Source organism: Homo sapiens, chromosome 4, assembly GCF_000001405.40.
Source record: "Homo sapiens chromosome 4, GRCh38.p14 Primary Assembly".
Lineage (NCBI taxonomy): Eukaryota > Metazoa > Chordata > Mammalia > Primates > Hominidae > Homo > Homo sapiens.
In genome coordinates this window covers 102,801,013-102,820,098 of record NC_000004.12, presented here as the reverse complement: position 1 = coordinate 102,820,098, position 19,086 = coordinate 102,801,013, and the positions used below count along the sequence as shown (strand labels likewise).

At 36.7% G+C, this 19,086-nt stretch overlaps 1 protein-coding gene across 11 annotated transcripts in view; it reads left to right on the top strand.

The window, feature by feature from the left end:
* UBE2D3 (ubiquitin conjugating enzyme E2 D3) overlaps positions 1–19,086 on the top strand; it is a 74,513-nt gene that overhangs the window by 48,797 nt on the left and 6,630 nt on the right. For all 11 annotated transcript variants that reach the window (NM_181893.3, NM_181890.3, NM_181889.2 and 8 more), the window contains 4 exons: positions 10,244–10,307; positions 10,396–10,427; positions 17,461–17,538; positions 18,540–18,645. In NM_181893.3, coding sequence (NP_871622.1) covers positions 10,244–10,307; positions 10,396–10,427; positions 17,461–17,538; positions 18,540–18,645 — 280 coding nt within the window. The remainder of the gene's footprint in view (positions 1–10,243; positions 10,308–10,395; positions 10,428–17,460; positions 17,539–18,539; positions 18,646–19,086) is intronic.

Here is a 19,086-nt window from a genome sequence, read left to right as displayed (position 1 = left end):
GTCTTCTTGAGGATGATTCTTAAAATTTCTTAAGGCACTTACTCCCTTTGTTTCCCACCTCATTTTATCATCTCTTCCAGTCCCCAAAGCAGTGTTTTGTGTTGCTCAGTATAGGTTTTTGAGGCAAGGGCTGTTTTTATAATGCTGATTCACAGTCATACAAATCTTGTCTTTTGAGTCATGTAAATCTTGTCTTTAGTTCTGAAAGAAATAGACTCTCAAATAGAATACAAGAAATTAACCTTTAGTAATGGCATAAGCTTTTAGTTTTCCGGAAAGTGCTGAGAGGAAATGTATCTATACTACTGCGTTCTGTCCTCTGTATGACCTTTGTGTGATGACGTGCAAAATAGATGGTAGAGATTGGGATAACAAATGATTTGTGGAACATCGTGGTGATAATTTTACTGTCTTAAAGGTAGAATCCATGAACTTGGCCTTGCCACTATATAGGCTTTTGAATTTTGACAAGCCTTGGGGGGATGAAACCTAGAATAAGTTATTTATGGCGTTACGCTTTAATAGGGTTGACACTTAAAACCTTGTTTTCATAAATGCTACCTTTTGGTTATGTTGATCTGATGAACAGATACTGGCTGTCATTGAAAGAAAGTTAACCGAATGTTCAGATACTTATTGGGCTCCTGGAACATGGCTGCTCTGTAGCTTCATGAATATTCATAATATTCATAAATATTTGTGAATAAATATTTTTAGTATTTCCAATTTATAAGCTCTTTGAAAGGAGGGAATTTTTTTTTTTTTTTTTGAGGCGGAGTCTTGGTCAGCTGCCCAGGCTAGAGTGCAGTGGCGCAACTGCGGCTTACTGCAACCACCGTCTCCTGGGTTCAAGCAATTCTCCTGTCTCAGCCTCTCGAGTAGCTGGGATTACAGGCACCCGCCATCATGCCCGGCTAATTTTTATATTTTAGTAGAGATGGGATTTCACGATGTTGGCCAGGCTGGTCTTGAATTCCTGACCTCAGGTGATCCGCCTGCCTTGGCTTCCCAAAGTGCTAGGATTACAAGCGTGAGCCACCACGCCCAGCAAGGGAGGGGACATTCTTATGTTTCTCCTAGCATCCTTTCAGGTCTTTAATGTTTTCAATACCTTGGCCTACTGTTCTTTGTAGCCTGTGGTTGGTCACCACTGCTAGTACCACTTATCATTGAATGAGGAAGATAGAGAATAGAGAAGCAGAAAGCATAGTTTAACATCTCCAACAATCAACTGTTAAATCCCATATCCCATAGTGACTACAGTAAAGGTCTTCCTCAAGATAAACCATTTGCAGGCTTTGTATTAAAAATCTCATGTAAGGAATGTTTCAGAATAAAAAAAAAAATAGTGACCAAACCCATTACTGCTTAAATCATGTACTTCCAGATGAGAACACTCACCAGTGGCTTAAGCTGTACCTGTTGGTTGCCTTTTAGAGAGATTTTTTTGGTGAAAAAAATCCTGCCCTATTTTCTACCATGGTGCCCACCAGGTCTTCAGGAAATAGGCAAACAACTCAGTTGTGTAAAGTCTGTTGCTGTCTCAAATTTCTTTGTAGTGTTTTAACTAATGAGGCGAACTAGACCATGTGAGAGCTTTGAGAGGGTCTCATTTACCTAGCTTAGAAAGAAGGCAGAGGGGTCTCCTTGACTTCTTTTCCTATAGGTTTTTTAAGGCTTTTAAATACAAGTATTTTTTCCAGTGAGAAGGTCTGGATTCTCACACTAGCCAAGTGTGCAGAAAGTTTGAGGAGAAGCAGCTCAGAGGAAGATGACACTAAAAGGAGAAAGTTTCCTAAAAGAGCACTCTGTGGAAAAGAAATGTCCAACCTTTTGTTCTTTTTATAGCTAGTACAGTTTCTTAGTGTTGTACCCTGATTGTATGTGCTTGATCTTAGTGTCCCTTCAACGTGAGTGGAACCTTGAGCAATTCCTAAAGTAAGTCAGTGTCCCCAACCAAACATTTTCCTGTTTCAGTGGCCTTAATAGTTGAGTAATGCTGTTCCCCTTAGGTGAGGGGTAGTCAGCACAGTATAAAAAAATTTTACAGGTGCCGTGTGAGAGCTGTTCCTTCTGGTTCTTGGCACTGTTCCTCTTCCTCTAGACTGCTAGGAAGGAATAAGCTGAAAATTTCAATTGTGTAATTTTTTAGTGTTTTTGTCCCTGAAGCCTGTGAAACTTTAGGCTCTAAAAACATTTTGTTAGGTGACTATCGTAGACAAAATTACTTTTAAAAATGCTGAGTATGGGTGTCGTTGGAAATTGATTTCCAGTCCAGTAAATAGTCTTGCTGTGGGATAGAATCATTTTCTCAGGCCATGTAACTTGAAAAATAGTACTGGATTCACACTACGTACGAATAATGAGATACAGACTAACGGTGGATGGTTATGCGGAAATAAATACTAAGGAAAACATTAGTTTTCCATATCGTGTTCATTCTGGAGCATTGAGTAATAGTTTGGTGCAGTTGAGAATTTTTTTCCCTCAGTTTGCCAAACATTAAATTATCTTTGCAAGGACACCCTGTTGAGAAAGGAACCTTTTTGAAACTTACCCCTAGTCCAAATTTTTAAGTTGTTAGTAGGTACACTTAGTTCACCTATCCTAAAGCTGAACATGTTCTATGCTTGAATGTAATCATTTCTTTCCCCTCTCTTAAGGGACTCAACTGTAAAACAGAGAAGATGAGCTCTATTTCCGTAAAGTGGTTATAAGAGTACAGTTAAACACTTGTGGTGTACGACTGCTAGTATATTTAAAAATCAAAACTCATTTGTCTTCTATTTCGAAACCATCAGTGATTTCCCATTGCCTTTGGAATAGTCTGACTAAATTCAAGGGCTCTTTTAAAAGATCAAGTCATAACCTGCCTTTTTAGCTAAATCTGCCACTCTCCTGGTGTACTCTGTCTGGTATACCAAACTCTGCAGTATTTGTTCTGGCAAATTTTTATGCCCTGTGTTCTTTGACACTCCTGACTTTGAGTTTCTCTACCTAGAATGCTTCTCTCACTCCTTGTTCTTGGTAAATGCCTGCTTATTTTTCCATCAAGAGCCAGCTCAAATGGCACTCCTCTAAACCCAGGAAAAGTTAGTGGTTGGTTTTTCAGGATTCTCAGAGCATTTGAGTCCCTTTATTTTAAGCATGTAGGTTGTTAAAGTATAATTTTTGTTTTGTCTTGCACCTGCTTTCTGTTAGCTGAGTCTGAGGAGGCATTTCTATCTTAATTATCTTGGTGTTTTTATACCTAACATGCATGGCACCAAAAAGGCAATGTTCCTATGAATGAATGAATGTTTTGATGGTGAAATTAACATTACATTTTCATTTTAGAAATGGATTTAAATTAACCTCCAGTGTGAAAGTTAACCTTGTTACTCCTAATTCAATTTTAAGACTTAGCTTCATTTAGATTTCTTACATGTTTTTCAGCAAAACTCAAAAACTAAATTGTGTTTGAAGTGGCATAAAATCTACATAATTGGTATTCAGATTTGGTCTCTCACTACTGCTGTATATATTTTTTAACTCCTTAATATAATCCAGATTAAATAAGGGATTTATTAGAAGGAAACTGGGATAGTTAACAATGAATGGAATAGGTGTAGGAACCAGAGCAAGCTACAACCTCAGGAACCAAAATTGCACATCTGTATGGAAAGTCAGCTCTTTGTTATTGCTGCTGTTGAATATGGTCTCTTTAGCTTTTGACTTTACCATGTAAGTCCATGACACGTGCCTGTCAACAGCTATGGGTCACATTCTTATAGCTCTTGATTATAGAAGGAAGAATGTCCCTTTGATTTGGAAACTCTTAGGTTGGGATGGACAATGGACTAATAGTTGGGTCCCAGCTGAGGGAACAAAATTCTGTGGTTAGTCATGTCCAAATAATTGGTTAATGATGGCTGACCCAGGACTACAGTCACATGATTTGGAGTAAGGGAAAAGGAATTCATGAGTAAGATGGTTTATTGAGTAGACAAAATGTCTGCTAGCTACAAAGAGCATCTGCTATGACTTACTCTTTTCTCACTTTTTTTTCCTACGATACTGTCTTGCTCATTCTGTGGGCATATAATGTTACAAAAATTATTTGGTAGCTCAAAGGTAAGTGCTTGTGCATGGTTTTGTTACTATTGGGTACTAAGTGGTACTTTAAATAGTAATATTAGATACTATTTAAATGGCAAGAAAGAAAGTGGTGAAATAAGAACAGCATTTTTATCTTTAAAAAAGACCTTTGTTTTGATTGTTAAAATACTTAGGTCATTTTTCTATATTGAATTTAAAGTAGGTAAGTGTATTGGGCTGATTTTATCTCTTTGATTATTACTAAAGAGATGTCTTGGTGATGGAGAACTTCGAAAGTAAGGCATTTAGAAATGTTAGGAGAGTAACAAGAACCTGAAATTACAGGAGTGAAGAGCTGAAACCCAGTGTTAACTAGCTGAAATTATACCTTCACTCTAAAAGGATGATAATGCTAGCATTTAAAGGCTTAGTGATGGATAAATATCAGTGTGCCGAAAACTCATTTATTCTATAAGAAATACTTTCTTACTTTCTTTGTAATTGAAATGTGTAATGTTGAAGTAGTATGGTGTTTATATTCTAGGTCAACTTCATAGTTTTCTGACCTTTAGTTTTATTTATAATGAAGTATTCCAACATTATTGGGTATTGTGTTTAGAACAACCATGATTACATTGATTTTTATTTTAAAATTAAAATATTTTATCTTAATATTTATTCTGGCCAGGCACGGTGGCTCACGCCTGTAATCCCAGCACTTTGGGAGGCCAAGGTGATCACCTGAGGTCAGGAGTTTGAGACCAGTGTGGCCAACATGGTGAAACCCCGTCTCTACTAAAAATACAAAAAATTAGCCGGGTGTGGTGGCGCACATCTCTAGTTCCAGTTACTCGGAAGGCTGAGGCAGGAGAATCACTTGAACCCAGGAGGCAGAGGTTGCAGTGAGCCAAGATTGTGCCATTGTACTCCACCATGGGCGACAAGAGTGAAACTCCATCTCCAAAAAAAAGAAAATTACGCTAAATATTTTTGTTCAGACATTTTAACATATATTAAATGTAAAATCTAGTATGTTTATTGAGTTAATTATGAGTAAATAAATGTAAAACTTGGATTGTGTTGTCAGCTTTTTAAACTCTTATTTCAGTATTAGGTATATTCAGATGCTTACAAAGACATTTTTAGACAACTGAGCATCAGGATTTATCACATAGGTCAAAAATTTAAATAAACAAGTGGCTATATTATGTGGCCCATGTGTGGAGCAGTTTTGCTTTTGTTCAGTAACAGATGAATTAAGAGCCTTGCCCAGGAATCTTGGTTCAGGATGGGTGGTCTACACATGGTCTGCTTGTTAAGTACCAGTCCATTATGTGCCAGGTAGTGATTCCTATTTCAGAGATGAGAAGAGAACCATGAGAAAAAGTAGGCCTGTGTAAGATTAAAAGTAAGACTGCAGGCCTGGTGCAGTGGTTCACACCTGTATTCCTAGCACTTTGGGAGGCCGAGGCAGGCGGATCACTTGAGGTCAGGATTTCGAGATCAGCCTGGCCATGGTGAAACCCCATCTCTAGTAAAACTACAAAAAAAAAAAAAAAAAAAAGAATAGCCAGGTGTGGTGGCATGTGCCTGTAATTCCAGCTACTCAGGAGGCTGAGGCAGGAGAGTCACTTGAACCTGGGAGGAGGAGGTTGCAGTGAACCAAGATCACACCACTGCACTCCAGCCTGGATGACAGAGGGAGACTCCATCTCAAAAAAAAAAGTCATTTTCTTAATAGTGGATAATTTAAGTTGCAAAAAAAAAAAAGCTTCTGAAATACTGATTTGGTTCAGTTAATATTTTCTGTTACAATTTTTTGAAGGCCAAAAGCCATGTAGTTTCTTTTACAGATTGTTGAACTGCGATATGAATTTCTGTAATTCCCACTGATCAGAATCAATAGTATTTGGAATGAATTTTCTTCCATTTCTGAATATGTGGAAGACATGAGGGTATATCTATACAGACAAGCATATAAAGGGTGTGTGATATACAGTCTTAAAATTGTGAATCTTGGGATCTCTGGCAACCTTGTAAGTAGTTGTGATGAGTTTCCAAAGTGAATTGGCACAGCATATCAGGACAATTCTCCTTGTCTACTCTATTTTTGTTGTTTGTTTTATGGCATTAATCTAGACTGACCATTCCCGAACAACTGGCCATTTTCTGAAGTGTATTTTGAATATAAGAGGCAAATATTTGCCTCTTAATTTTCCTGCAGTGTTGTTTATTGTGACAAAGCCTTTCTTCACATTCTTTATTTCTTTTTAACTTTTCAGGTTACTGGCCAAGGTTCCCTTTCTTAGCGTTAAATTAGTCCAGTGTTAACTCCTAGGACCTTCTGTTCCAGGAGTGCTCTCACCAAGTTGAATGGCTATAAACATCATTTGTTTATTAATGATACTTTGTATTTGTTCCCAGCCTGTTCTCAACTTGTATATATACTTTTCAAATTGAGTCTTTACTTACATTATCCTATTTTACTTACTTTATCTCTACATCTGCCCACAAGCTTCACCTGTAAGTTGACCATTTTACTTAATGCCAATCTCATGCTTTGCTCAGGCCAAAAATCTTAGCGTCACCTTTTCTTCCCACATGGAGTCAATCAACAAAATTCATTGTTTAATTTTACAATTAAAAATGTACATTTATTGTTCAACAAATTGCTGTACATAGTGATGCGTACCTGCAACTCCAGCTGCTTAAGAGGCTGAGGCAAGAGGATCCCTTGAGCCCAGGAGTTCTGGGCTATAGTGCCTTATGATTGTGATTCCGCCTGTGAATAGCCACTGTAGTCCGGCTTGGGCAACATAGTGAGATTCCCATCACTTTTTTAAAAGGGGAGAGGATTGGTGGACTTTTAACTAAACAACTTTAATCAAAACTTCATTTTTTAAAAAAGATACTATTAGAGCAGTTAAAACTTTGTGTTGATCATCTTAACATTTTTAAAGGTAGTACAATTATTCTTAGTCCGTATTTGTGTACTCTAGTTTCCTAGCCCTGTTTCTCAGTGCTGTTTTGCTAATATCTCTAATAGTCTTACTTAATCTTGTTGAAAGTAGCACTTTTGAGGTTAATAAGGTTTAAATTAATAACCCCCATTGACTGTAGTCTATAATACTATAATTTTTTAAATGGCAAAATGCCCTCTGGGAGCTAAGGTGTCTTAAAAGCTTAGAGCAAATCCTGTTAAATGGGACAAAGTCTCAATTCTTTTTTAATAAGACAAAAACACTTTATGTAGTCTCTTTTCTTTTTCAGTGTTTCTCGAAATTTCAATTTTATTCCATGCTGCTACAGAATACAAACTTACCCAATAAAAATAGCAGCTCCATTGAAAGAGCTTTCCCACAAATTGAAATATTTAAAGCACAGTTACAGGCTTGTGTACTGTTGGTGCATACATTGTTTGATTTGTTCAGTTCCTCAGTTTTGCAGGGAAAGATGTCAACATTATCTGATTTTTCAAGCTATCTATTCAATGATTCTAATTTTCTAAAAGACTTGGAAGCTGGGTTGTTTTTTGTTCTGGCCCCTCAGTTTGTTGAGAGCCTATTTTAAAGATTTCCAGTGGATTTAACAAAATGAACAAAATTTAGAGGACTCATTTATTTCCCCCAACCAAGTCAGTGCCATAGTGGGACCCTTACATAAATTTGTCACTGTGTTTAAATTTGATGTAGTGAATGAAAATAATCATCTGAAGCCAGTATAAAATAGGCATTAAACATTGTTGTCCAAGCTAGAGTGCAGTGGCTCTCCACCAGCATGATCATTTAACACACAAAAACCTGAAACACCTGGGCTTAATCCTGCCTCAGCCTTCCGAGTAGCTGGGACTACAGGCACATGCCACTATGCCTTGTTAAATTAAGATTTGTAGCTCTTCTTCCCATTCCCTGCACCCTTCTGAGAGAGCTTATACTGAAAGTTCTGCATTTTGTGTCCTTGATTTTGCACAGGAAGGCAAAAGATCACAGTTGAGGAAAAAAAGTTACCCACTTTGAAAATCTGTTTCCATTTTTAAATTCCTGTAGTTATAGGGAATAAGTTGTTCTAGTAGACCAAAAGAAGATTAATGTTTTTAGTTATACACGGATGCATTGATATTGTGGTAGACAGTTGATACTGGCTTTATCGTAATTTTTTTTTCTTTTTATGGAGAATGGGGTCTCACTATGTTATCCAAGCTGGTCTCGAACTCCTGCGCTCAAGCTGTCCTCTCGCCTCTGCTTCTCTGTTGTATCTTTTTTATTTAGGCATCCTTTCTTTTGCTTTCTAGTACTTGGTCTTTTGTATATGAGTACGTTCAGCTTTTCTGGGGTTTTTTTTTTGTTGTTTTTGAGACAGTCTCACTCTTTTCCCCAGGCTGGAGTGCAGTGGCGCGATCTGCAGCCTCTCCCTCCCAGGTTCAAGTGATTCTCCTGTATCATCCTCCCGAGTAGCTGGGATTACAGGCGTGTGCACTATGCGTGGCTAATTTTTGTGATGTTAGTAGAGATGGGGTTTTACCATGTTAGCAGCACTGGTCTTGAACTCCTGACCTTAGGTGATCCACCCTTCTCAGCCTCCCAAAGTGCTGGGATTACGGGCGTGAGCCACTGTGCCCAGTCTAGCTTTTTTGGTCTTGTTTTTTTGTTTCTGAGACAGGATTTTGTGTTTTTTTTCTGTCTCAAGACAGCTCTGTTGCCCAGACTGGAGTGCAGTGGCATGATCACAGCTCACTGCAGCCTTGACTTGTTGGGCTCAAGTGATCCTCCCACCTCAGTCTTCTGAGTAGCTAGGACCCCAGGCATGCACCACCATGCCTAGCTAACATTTTCGAAGAGACGGGGGTCTCCCTTTGTTGTTCAGGCTGGTCTCAGTCAAACTCCTGGGCTCAAGCGATCCCTGTCTTTGCCTCCCAGGGTGTTAGGATTACAGGCATGAGCCACGTACCTAGTGGTCTTCTGCTGTTCAAATGGAATCCCAAACCTTACCCTTCTGTGTTATTTCCGTGTTTATATGAGAAAGGGGATATAGAAGATATAGTAGTCCCTAGACTTAATGGGTGTACTGACTTATGCCATAGACTAAACTTAAGAGAAACTGTTAGTTTGAAAATGTTGAAGGCAGTAATGTATTAACATTGGTTCTATTTATTGTCTTTTTTTTTTAACTTGTGATTATTAGACATTGGTTATATCATTGGTAAGATGGAGCTGTACCATCTTAAAAATATTCTAATAAACTATATTTTCATAGTAGATAATTCATATTGTTATGCACAAGTCATGGAACAGTGAACTACATACTTGTTGGAAATAAAACGTTCATATTGAATTGTGCAGACTATATGTTAAGAGCAAACGTCTTTCTACTTACAGAAGTACGCTCTTCAGGGTCAGAATTTCAATCACGAGGTCAGGAGATCGAGACCCATCCTGGTTAACACAGTGAAATCCCGTCTCTACTAAAAAATACAAAAAATTAGCCTGGCATGGTGGCGGGCACCTGAGGCAGGAGAATGGCGTGAACCTGGGAGGTGGAGCTTGCAGTGACCCCAGATTGCGCCACTGCACTGCAGCCTGGAGACTCCGTCTCAAAAAAAAAAAAAATTTCAATAGTTAAAAATGGATGCTGAGTTTAAAAAAAAAAAAAAAGGTTGAGTTGAGAGAATAAGGAGATTAGAAAACAAAAAAGGTACTTAGCCCCATGAGAGTTTTTTTGGTTTGTTTTCAGGTAGAAAATAGAGTTAGTGGATTGGGGAGGAAGGATGGTTCAGGAAGAACAAAGAATTTAAGACAGTTGAGGGCCTCTGAAAGTGGTCTTGGAAGTTCAACAAATAACGTGAATGTTGAGCTCTCTCTGGTCTAAGCTCTTAAACTATGAGAATATCTAATTATAGCTATTTCGGTTTGTAAGAGATTGGCTTTTATGTAAATAAAAAATTTTGTATCAATGTGTTTGCATATATATTTTTACGAACTCTAGCTAAGATGATTGTCTCAGCATATGTTCAGGCATGTTCTCTCTCCTAATGGAATATATTATTTATGTGAATTGTGATGGAGTGTGCCTTTAAAAATAGGGTGAAAGTAACTGAAAGCAGTGGACTCATTTGCTTGTTTTCTTAAATTAAGCTTATGTGACTCACCCATTTTCTGTCTTGGTGTAGGAACTTAGTGATTTGGCCCGTGACCCTCCAGCACAATGTTCTGCAGGTCCAGTTGGGGATGATAGTAAGTAACTTGCAAGTTGATTTTTATGCCTAATTTTTTTTTAAGCTTGTGCATTTTTAGATAACCAGAGTTTTTTTTCTTTTTCTAGTGTTTCATTGGCAAGCCACAATTATGGGACCTGTAAGTATTAAGAATTTTTAAATTTAGTTTTAAGTGAAAATCCAGCATTGATTTGGTTGTAATTTTTAACTTGGTCTGTAGGTTTATTTTATCATATAGTTAATTCTATTTTGGATATTCCATAGTTGTACTGCATTTGAAAGAAAAAACATAATGAGTTAGTCATTTGTTACGTGTACTTTGTGTCTATCCCTGTGTTCACGTTCTAGAGTATAGCCATCTCTATGACCTACCAAACATCTCTGTATCTCAGTTCAGTTTTTCTACATAGCACTGTGTAAAGCATTGTCATGGAACTTCCTGTTATTTATAGAGACAAAGTTACTGGCTCTGATATGCCATGCGTTGTGTTACTCAGAGATCTTATTCTGTTACTGCAGCTGCCAATAATCTAGCTTAATTGTATTTTGATATTTGATTCTTTATAGAACTTCAGTTTATGCAAAATTTGAATATATTTAGGCAGAAAGTGATATTTTGAATATAGCAAAATTCCTTTCTATCCTGGGTAGATAAGCAACTATATGCTGGATAATTGAATATTCAGAATTATGGATACCATCTAAGAATTTCAGAGAATTAGAGCGCACTAAAACATCCTGGGGTAAGACTGTATCTTACACAAATATTTAACTTTTTTTTTTTTTTTAACTTGCTAAGGCGCTTAAGGATTTGTTTTCTAAGTTACATGTGTATCTTCCTGAAAACTGTCTTCCCTTTTTGGTGGTTTTATAAGCAACATAAAGAGCAATAATGTACTAGGTGAGATAATGGTCAGTAAGTAATATTTAGAATTCTAAAGGAAAAAATGCTCTTAGAGTTAGTAGATGAGTCGAATCAACAAGTATTTATTTAGTAATTCTGATTCTAACTTTAGTCATTTTTCTGTCTCAAATGTGAGTACATACTGTGTGCCAGGTAATAAGGATACAAATTGAACATAATAAACATCCCTGTCGATCTTATAGGGAACTTACACTGTATTAGAGGAGACAGATACCTAAAACAAGTGCTGAAGTGTGACAAGATGGAAAATAAGTGATTGGTGAATGAAGTGCTGAGTAGGATAAATTAATGGGAAATTGAAGCAGGGAGGATTAATTTAGAGTAATTAAAATGTTAGTGCCCTAAAGGTAGAAAAACTAAATCAAAGTAAGACATGGCAGGGGTGCAAATATTAAGTTTAATACTTTGAAACGTCCTGGATCATTTTAAAACAAAGTAACATTTAAAACAGTAAAAATAGTCCTGTAATAACGAAATGCACAATCCTGGCTTTGTAGTTATTAAAAGTACTTACTTTTATCTAATTTGGTAGCAATATTGTTTAATTTTAATACACGCAGTTAAATGTTGAGTTACCCAGTTTGGCCCACACGATATTTTTGAAAGTTGGCAGTCTTCAAATAAAAGCCTTCTGAGTAGGCCCACATTCCATAAGCAGTAATGGCTTGGGATGGAATGACAGCTGCCTCCCTTTTTTAGATGGGATATGTGTTTACCACAGTGCCTACTAGGTCAATTCCATATTATCTGCCTAGTGTTTTGTAAAGCAGTTGCTTTTGCAACCTCTAGAATTTTCCCATTTTGGATTACCAGTTTTCAAAGAATGCTATAAAATGCCTTAAAATAAAGCTCATCTTTGATTCAGAGGGTAGTTGATAGTTTCATTATAAAAATTGTCAATACTAAGAAAGCACAGAAGCGTTGGTAATTAAAACTTCTAATTGGATGGTGTGCAGAATAAACTAACTCTTTAAAACTAGTTGGTTTTTCTGCTTGACAGTTTAGACTTTGTTATTTTGAACAACACACTAGTTTTTCCCAAAAGGCAAGGAACATACCTATAGACAATCAAAAGGAAACATGAATGATGAGTGTATGGTAGTAATTTTTTTAGAGAATGGTGTTGCTTATTCTGACAGATTTTTTAGCAGTTTACTTAATTTGCTGTTATTTTGAGAAAACATTTACCTTTTTTCATTTTTTAAATATATATTTCAGGTGATGGCTATTCCTTGCTGAACTTTTTCAGCAACCTTTTAATATAATGACTAGCAGTTTTCTGCTTTTACAAACAGAAGCATGTGATTTTCAGAACCATTTAAATATTAACCTGATTAACCACAACTGCTGGGTTTTGCTTTGGTAGCAGTACTCACTGAAATATGTTTTCAGTTAAAAAGGTTAGTTCTCACTGTTGGTTGGGTAAATTTCAAGAAGGAGTCAAAGATTATAAAAATCCACCCAAAGTACGGGTATTGTCTTGTACATAAGTAAGCACATAATTTAGATGCCAGCTTTAAATAGTTAACTATATGCTTACTGTGGAGTGCACCAATGAAACAACTCATTTTGTTCTTTTGGCTTCTCAATACTTCTTTGTGACAAAGCATCACTGTATAAGATAAATAGTAGCTTATTTTGTGAGTATGGTTGCTCTATGTAGCAAGCAGTTGTGACCTAAAGCAACCCATAAATTACAGATTTAGTGGGAGAACTGGACAGTTAACAACGTCACTTTTGCTTTGGACTACTACTTAGGTCCCTTAAAGTGGTGCCAGTGCCACAGAACTGAAGATTCCTGACTGTAGGGAATATACCATCTAATTTTGAGTTTCAATAGAGTAACTTTGATTTTAGTGAGTTGTTGGGAAATCCTTTAGATCATTAGTTATGCAGCAAAATTGCTTGGCTTTAATAATCATATGTACTGGCTTATTCTTTCTGAAGGTAAGCTACTTCGGAAGCACAACTATTGACTAAAAACTAAACCTTCGAAAGAAATGACAGCATTGCTAGTTTTTTGTGTGCGTGGGTTTTTTTGGGGAGGGGGGCGTGGGGTACTGTATTAAGGTTAGTTTCCAACAAGAATTGATGTAATTAGAAGAAATTGACTTCCTTACCTATTGCCTCTGATATTTACTTGCTTAAATTTTTTTTTATTGGAAATCCAGAAAAAGTGGATTTAGAGAACAACACTAACTCCCACCTAATCTATGACAGAGATGTAGAAGAGAGTACCTGTGAAAAATGTGAAAGTATCTGAAAAATGTAACCTTTGGCAGCCTGAGCATAGTCAACCAGAAAAACTATCTGAATTAAAATAATTGGTCCATAGGTACTATTTTATTTGGTCCATAAGGATTATTTTTTCAACTTTTTTTTCAAGTGTATTATTATGTCATTTCCCACGTAGGTTACTGATACCTGAAGACTTTTTCCACCTTTAACCTTACTCGTTGAGGAGCTTTGTAGTCTAATAAAAGAGAAATATAAGTAAATGTTAGATATATGGGTGGATAATGGTAACTATGTGCTTAAAGAGGTATAAAAGAAGGGTAGGGAGCAGATAAGACAAAGGAAGGGCTATATTATAAGGAAGAATATTCCAAGTAGGGAAGAGAAAAAGATATGTTATCCATATAATATTTTATGTGCAGTAGAGAACATGTTCTATAGAAGAGACAGAAGATGAAACTAGATGGGCACCCAGATCATAAAGCACCGTATGTACTTAGGAGTTGGAATTATCTTAAAAACTATCATAGATTTCAAGCAGGGGAGTAACATTTTTAAAAGACCACTTTATCATTAGGATGGAGGGATAATCATTAGTAAGCTATTGCCATAATCTAGGCTGAAGATAACATCATGAACTAAGATGGTAGTGACAGTGGGCATAAAGGAGAAGCTAATTCAAGAAATTTTAAAGATCTTACTTGATAACTATCTTGATTCTGAGATAAGAGAGGAAGAAGTTGATGATGAGATCCTGGTTTATGGCTTTCAGTTATGGCTTGCTATTAATAAACAGGAAAAAAGGGATTGAGACAAGTTTCAGTTTTGGACGCATGACATGAGATATCCAAGTAGAGATATCCAAGTAGAAATATCAGTAGGCATTTGAATATATGCCCTGGAATGAATAACTGACCAGAGATATATTTTGCAACTCAAATTTTTATGGGTCAGCAGTTAAGAGTAGAAAATCAACCTATAAGAATACCAGCATTTTTAGCTGGGTGTAGTGGCACATGCCTGTAATTCCAGCTTCTTTGGAGGCTGAGGCCCGAGAATTTACTTGAACCTGGGAGGTGGAGGTTGCAGTGAGCCGAGATCACACCACTGCACTCCAGCCTGGGCGACAGCACCACTTTAAAAAAAAAAAAAAAAGAATACCAACGTTTTATTGCCACAGAAGAGCTGAGGCACTGTGAGGGAGCAACTTTGCACTGATGAGAGCAAAAGAAGTAGAAGGTTTCTGAAAAAATCTAACATAAATTCTGGACTTGTACGATTTGAGTCGATTTGCTGATCACAGTGTTCCTTATTCTTTGGGGATTTTGTTTCTTTTTGGTGTAGTTTGCTGCTGATTCATAATAGAATTTAAATATCATAGGGTCTCAATTTTTTATATTGCCTAGTTTCATTATCTCTGAACCTCGTAGTTCTTCCTCTTTTGGCATGGCAGAACTTTAGTGTTAAATTGTAACATTGAAATATTTTGCCTTCTTTATAAAGTTCTTTTTTCGAACAAACGAAACGAAATTTGGCTTTGCCTAAATCCCATCAGCAGATTGCCTTTATTCAGAAGCAGTCATAGACAGCATTTGATTTTATGAAAATTGAAATGAAAGCTTACAAAGAACTTCTGGAATTAGGTTATTAAAACTTCAATGTTTGGGGCCGGGCATGGTGGCTCACGACTGTAATCCCAACACTTTGGGAGGCCAAGGTGGGTGGATCACTGGAACTCAGCAGTTTGAGACCAGCCTCTCAACTAAAAAGACAACAAAAACTCCGTCTCTACTAAAAAGACAAAAAAAATTAGCCAACTGTGGTGGTTCACTCCTGTAGTTCCAGCTACTCGGGAGGGTGAGGTGGGAGAATCACTTGATCCCAGGAGGCAGAGGGTTGCAGTGAGCCAAGATCGTGCCACTGCACTCCAGTCTGGGCGACAGAGCAAGACCCTGTCTCAAAAAAAACAAAAACAACTTTAGTGTTTGGGATTACCTTTAAATTGTTAATTTTACACAGAAAAAACATATCTTGTATAGTATTGGATCAGGTGAAAGTATATGCTATTTGAAGCATCTATTCAAAATTAATATAACTATTTAATAAAGACATGTTAATCTAATAAACTCAGGTCACATTCTAAGTGACCTGAGTGTTTTTCTAGTTCCATATTTTGTAGAAAATATGAAAAAGGACTGGGCACGGTGGCTGATACCTGTAATCCCAGCACTTTGGGAGGCTGAGGCAGGCGGATCACCTGGGGTCAGGAGTTAAGAGTTCAGCCAACATGGTGAAGCCCCATCTCTACTAAAAATAAAAAATTAGCTGGGCACGTTGGTGCACACCTGTAATCCAAGCTACTGAGGCAGCTGAAGCAGGAGAATCTCTTGAACCTGGGGAGGCGGCGCTTGCAGTGAGCTGAGGTTGCACCATTTTACTCGAGCTTGGGCAACAAACAGCAAGATGATATTCTGCGTCTTGTTTGTCCCCCTTCCCGTTCCCATTCCCCCCGCCCTCCACCCCTACAAAAAAAAAGGGGGAAGACTTGGGAGATGGAGAAGGACTCACTTTAAATAAGCTCTGGCTGGGTACAGTAGCTCACACCTATAATCAGCACATTTTGGGAGGCCGAGATGGGTGGATCACAAGGTCAGGAGGCCGCAAGACTAGCCTGGCCAACATGGTGAAACTCAGTCTCTACTAAAAATACAAAAATTAGCTGGGTGTGGTGGTGCATATGTGTAATCCCAGCTACTTGGGAGGCTGAGGCAGGAGAGTTGCTTGAACCCAGGAGGCAGAGGTCGCAGTGAGCTGAGATCGTGCCACTGCGCTTAAGCCTGAGCGACAGAGTGAGACTCCGTCTCAAATAAATAAAAGCTCTTCCATTTACTAGTTGTATATTTCTTTGAACCTGATTCTTCATTAATAAATTGACCTTTCTTCTTTGAACTCGTGTCCCTTGTTCATATTTCATGATACCTATAACATTTCATTGCAGTTACTTTACATGTCTATCAGTGTAAGCTCATCAAGATAAAAAAAATTGTTCTTTGGATCCCTTAACACACATACAGTATATAGCAAGGGGTTAGATTAATTGAATTAATGTTTATTTATTTTACAGAAGGGTAGGAATTAGATGAGCTGTGTTAGTGTCAGGCCTGTTTTTTATGTGCCTGACATCCAGAATGGGCATAGTGAAAGGCTCATATATAGCTGTATATACAAAGCCTTTCTAATAGAGGGGAGTCAGTGTTGGTAAAAACCCAGTTCATGTAAGTTGTAAAACATGTCTTCGGATTGGTTCTTTGCATACCCAGAAGCAGTTAGGCATTCCACATTTTAACTTTAAATTCCTGAGTAGGTCAGTATCTTTGATCATTAAGTGGTCTTCAAAAGACTTGTGTTTGAATCTTGGTTCTATCATTTACCATTTGTACACTAGACTAAGTTCTTTAAGCCTCATTTTTCTCATGCATAAAATAGGGGCAATGCATGTATTTTCTGGTATTGATTAAAATGAGAAGCTTAGGCTTTTCTCTGTTCTCCTCTTGAAGGTGGTGTGTGTGTGTTACCTGGAATAGCTAACATTTGGTTTGCCAGTGGGCAGAATGGACTGTTGTGAAGCCATTTGTACACATCTGGCTATTGGAAGAAATAATCTACATGTGTAAAATTTTGTTTACAGATTATTCTGAAACATGATTATGTAGGCTTTATTGCTGTGTTGTACTTTTGAGAATTGAGATCTAGAATACTTGCGTTTCTGGATAACTTTTTAAAAAAACATTTTGGTGACGTGTAAAATGACTAGATAAATTAGGGTTTATTACTGTATAAGTTTTAAGTTTTTTTCTATTACTATAGACTGAATTTTCATGGAATAGATTATTTATTGCAGTGTAAATAGGTGATTTGGGTTCATTATTAGAGAAATGCTTGGAAACAAATGTTACGGAATATTTAGCAATAATATTTTAAATTTGAGTTAAGCATACTTTTCTTTTTACAGAATGACAGCCCATATCAAGGCGGTGTATTCTTTTTGACAATTCATTTTCCTACAGACTACCCCTTCAAACCACCTAAGGCAAGTATTTTCCCTCAAAATCTGTTAGTATAGATTTATGCTTTATTTCAAAGGAATAGAGCATTCTTGGAAGATAGGGTTCTGTGTAGGCTGTATATATATGTTGAATTGCACTCATGTATAGATGCTGACTCTTAACCTTTGGTTTAAAGAGCTAGACCTCAGTTTGAGCTTTGTAAATAGGAATAAGGTTTGCCTTTTCTTTAATGTTGCAAGATTCAGACCATGTGGAAGCTTCCGCCCTCATCTGTATTATTGTTACACAGATTCTGATTTTTGGGCTTTTGTTGTCTTGTAAGCATCAAATGTCCAACTTCAATTTATATTTGCACGTATTGTTACAGCATATGCTTATTATGCTTATAGTTTTGTATACGTAAGTGTAAATTTGTGAAAACTTAGAGTTGCTTAGTGCACTGGTTTATAGGTATTAAAAGCATATTATCCTTCACTTTTCAGTCATTAACATAAATTCAACCTGTATGAATAACTAGAAAAGGTAATATACAAAGGTCATAAACATGTCACTATAACAATCTCTAGTAATGTTATAGGTGCAATGTGATGGTTTCCATTTTTGTGATTCAAGTTTATGTTTTATGTACGGTGGAAATGCAGACTCAGGTGTACCTGTGTAACTTAATGAAACTTTAAATGAGATGGTCTACAAATTTTGGTTACATCCAAAAGTTAGGGCTTTTATAAATGAATGTGTTAAATACCTTTAAATTGCCCTTTGATTCATGATATGGTAGGGCCACAGTAACCTTTAGAACTTTACATCATATGAGTAATGAAATTTTTATCCAAAAGTTTAGGTTTCTGTTGTAAAAAGAGGAGGCAGGGGGTTGTGGTCAGATTGTAAAAATCAGTTTCTATAATATTTAGAACTTCTATGCTAATAGATGACATTTTTAACATTGTGGCTTGATTATTTTAAGTTTTGCTTTAAAAGATGTTTGTTTTTATTTGAATAAAATACTTAAAAGTTTTTGTTTTAGGTTGCATTTACAACAAGAATTTATCATCCAAATATTAACAGTAATGGCAGCATTTGTCTCGATATTCTAAGATCACAGTGGTCGCCTGCTTTAACAATTTCTAAAGGTAAATATTTCTAGTGAAATAAGCTGTTCTCATTGTCTAATAAAGCTTCATTCTTAGATCTACTTATCTGAGTATTTTTATTATGGCAGCTTTTTGGTAAGAGATGGGGAAGCAATAAAGTTACTTTTATAATTTTTGTTCTTTTAGTGGTGTTGATTAAAGATACTTTGTGAGAAGTTGTTAAAATTCAAATTGTGGTGAGTAGGCATTATTTGCCTAATGAGTTACCTTCATCTCATCTTATAATAGCAAAATTTATTTTAATAGACTTCTGTATTTTTCAATCCCAAACCACTTGGACATCTCACACTAACTTGCGGCCTTTTTACCAAGAATGGTATGATATACCTAAACTTAATAGAGCTTTTGAATCCTGAGGTTTCCACTCTAGGAAAATTCTGATTTTGCTTTCCTGGGTTAATTTTTAGACAAATCTTCAGT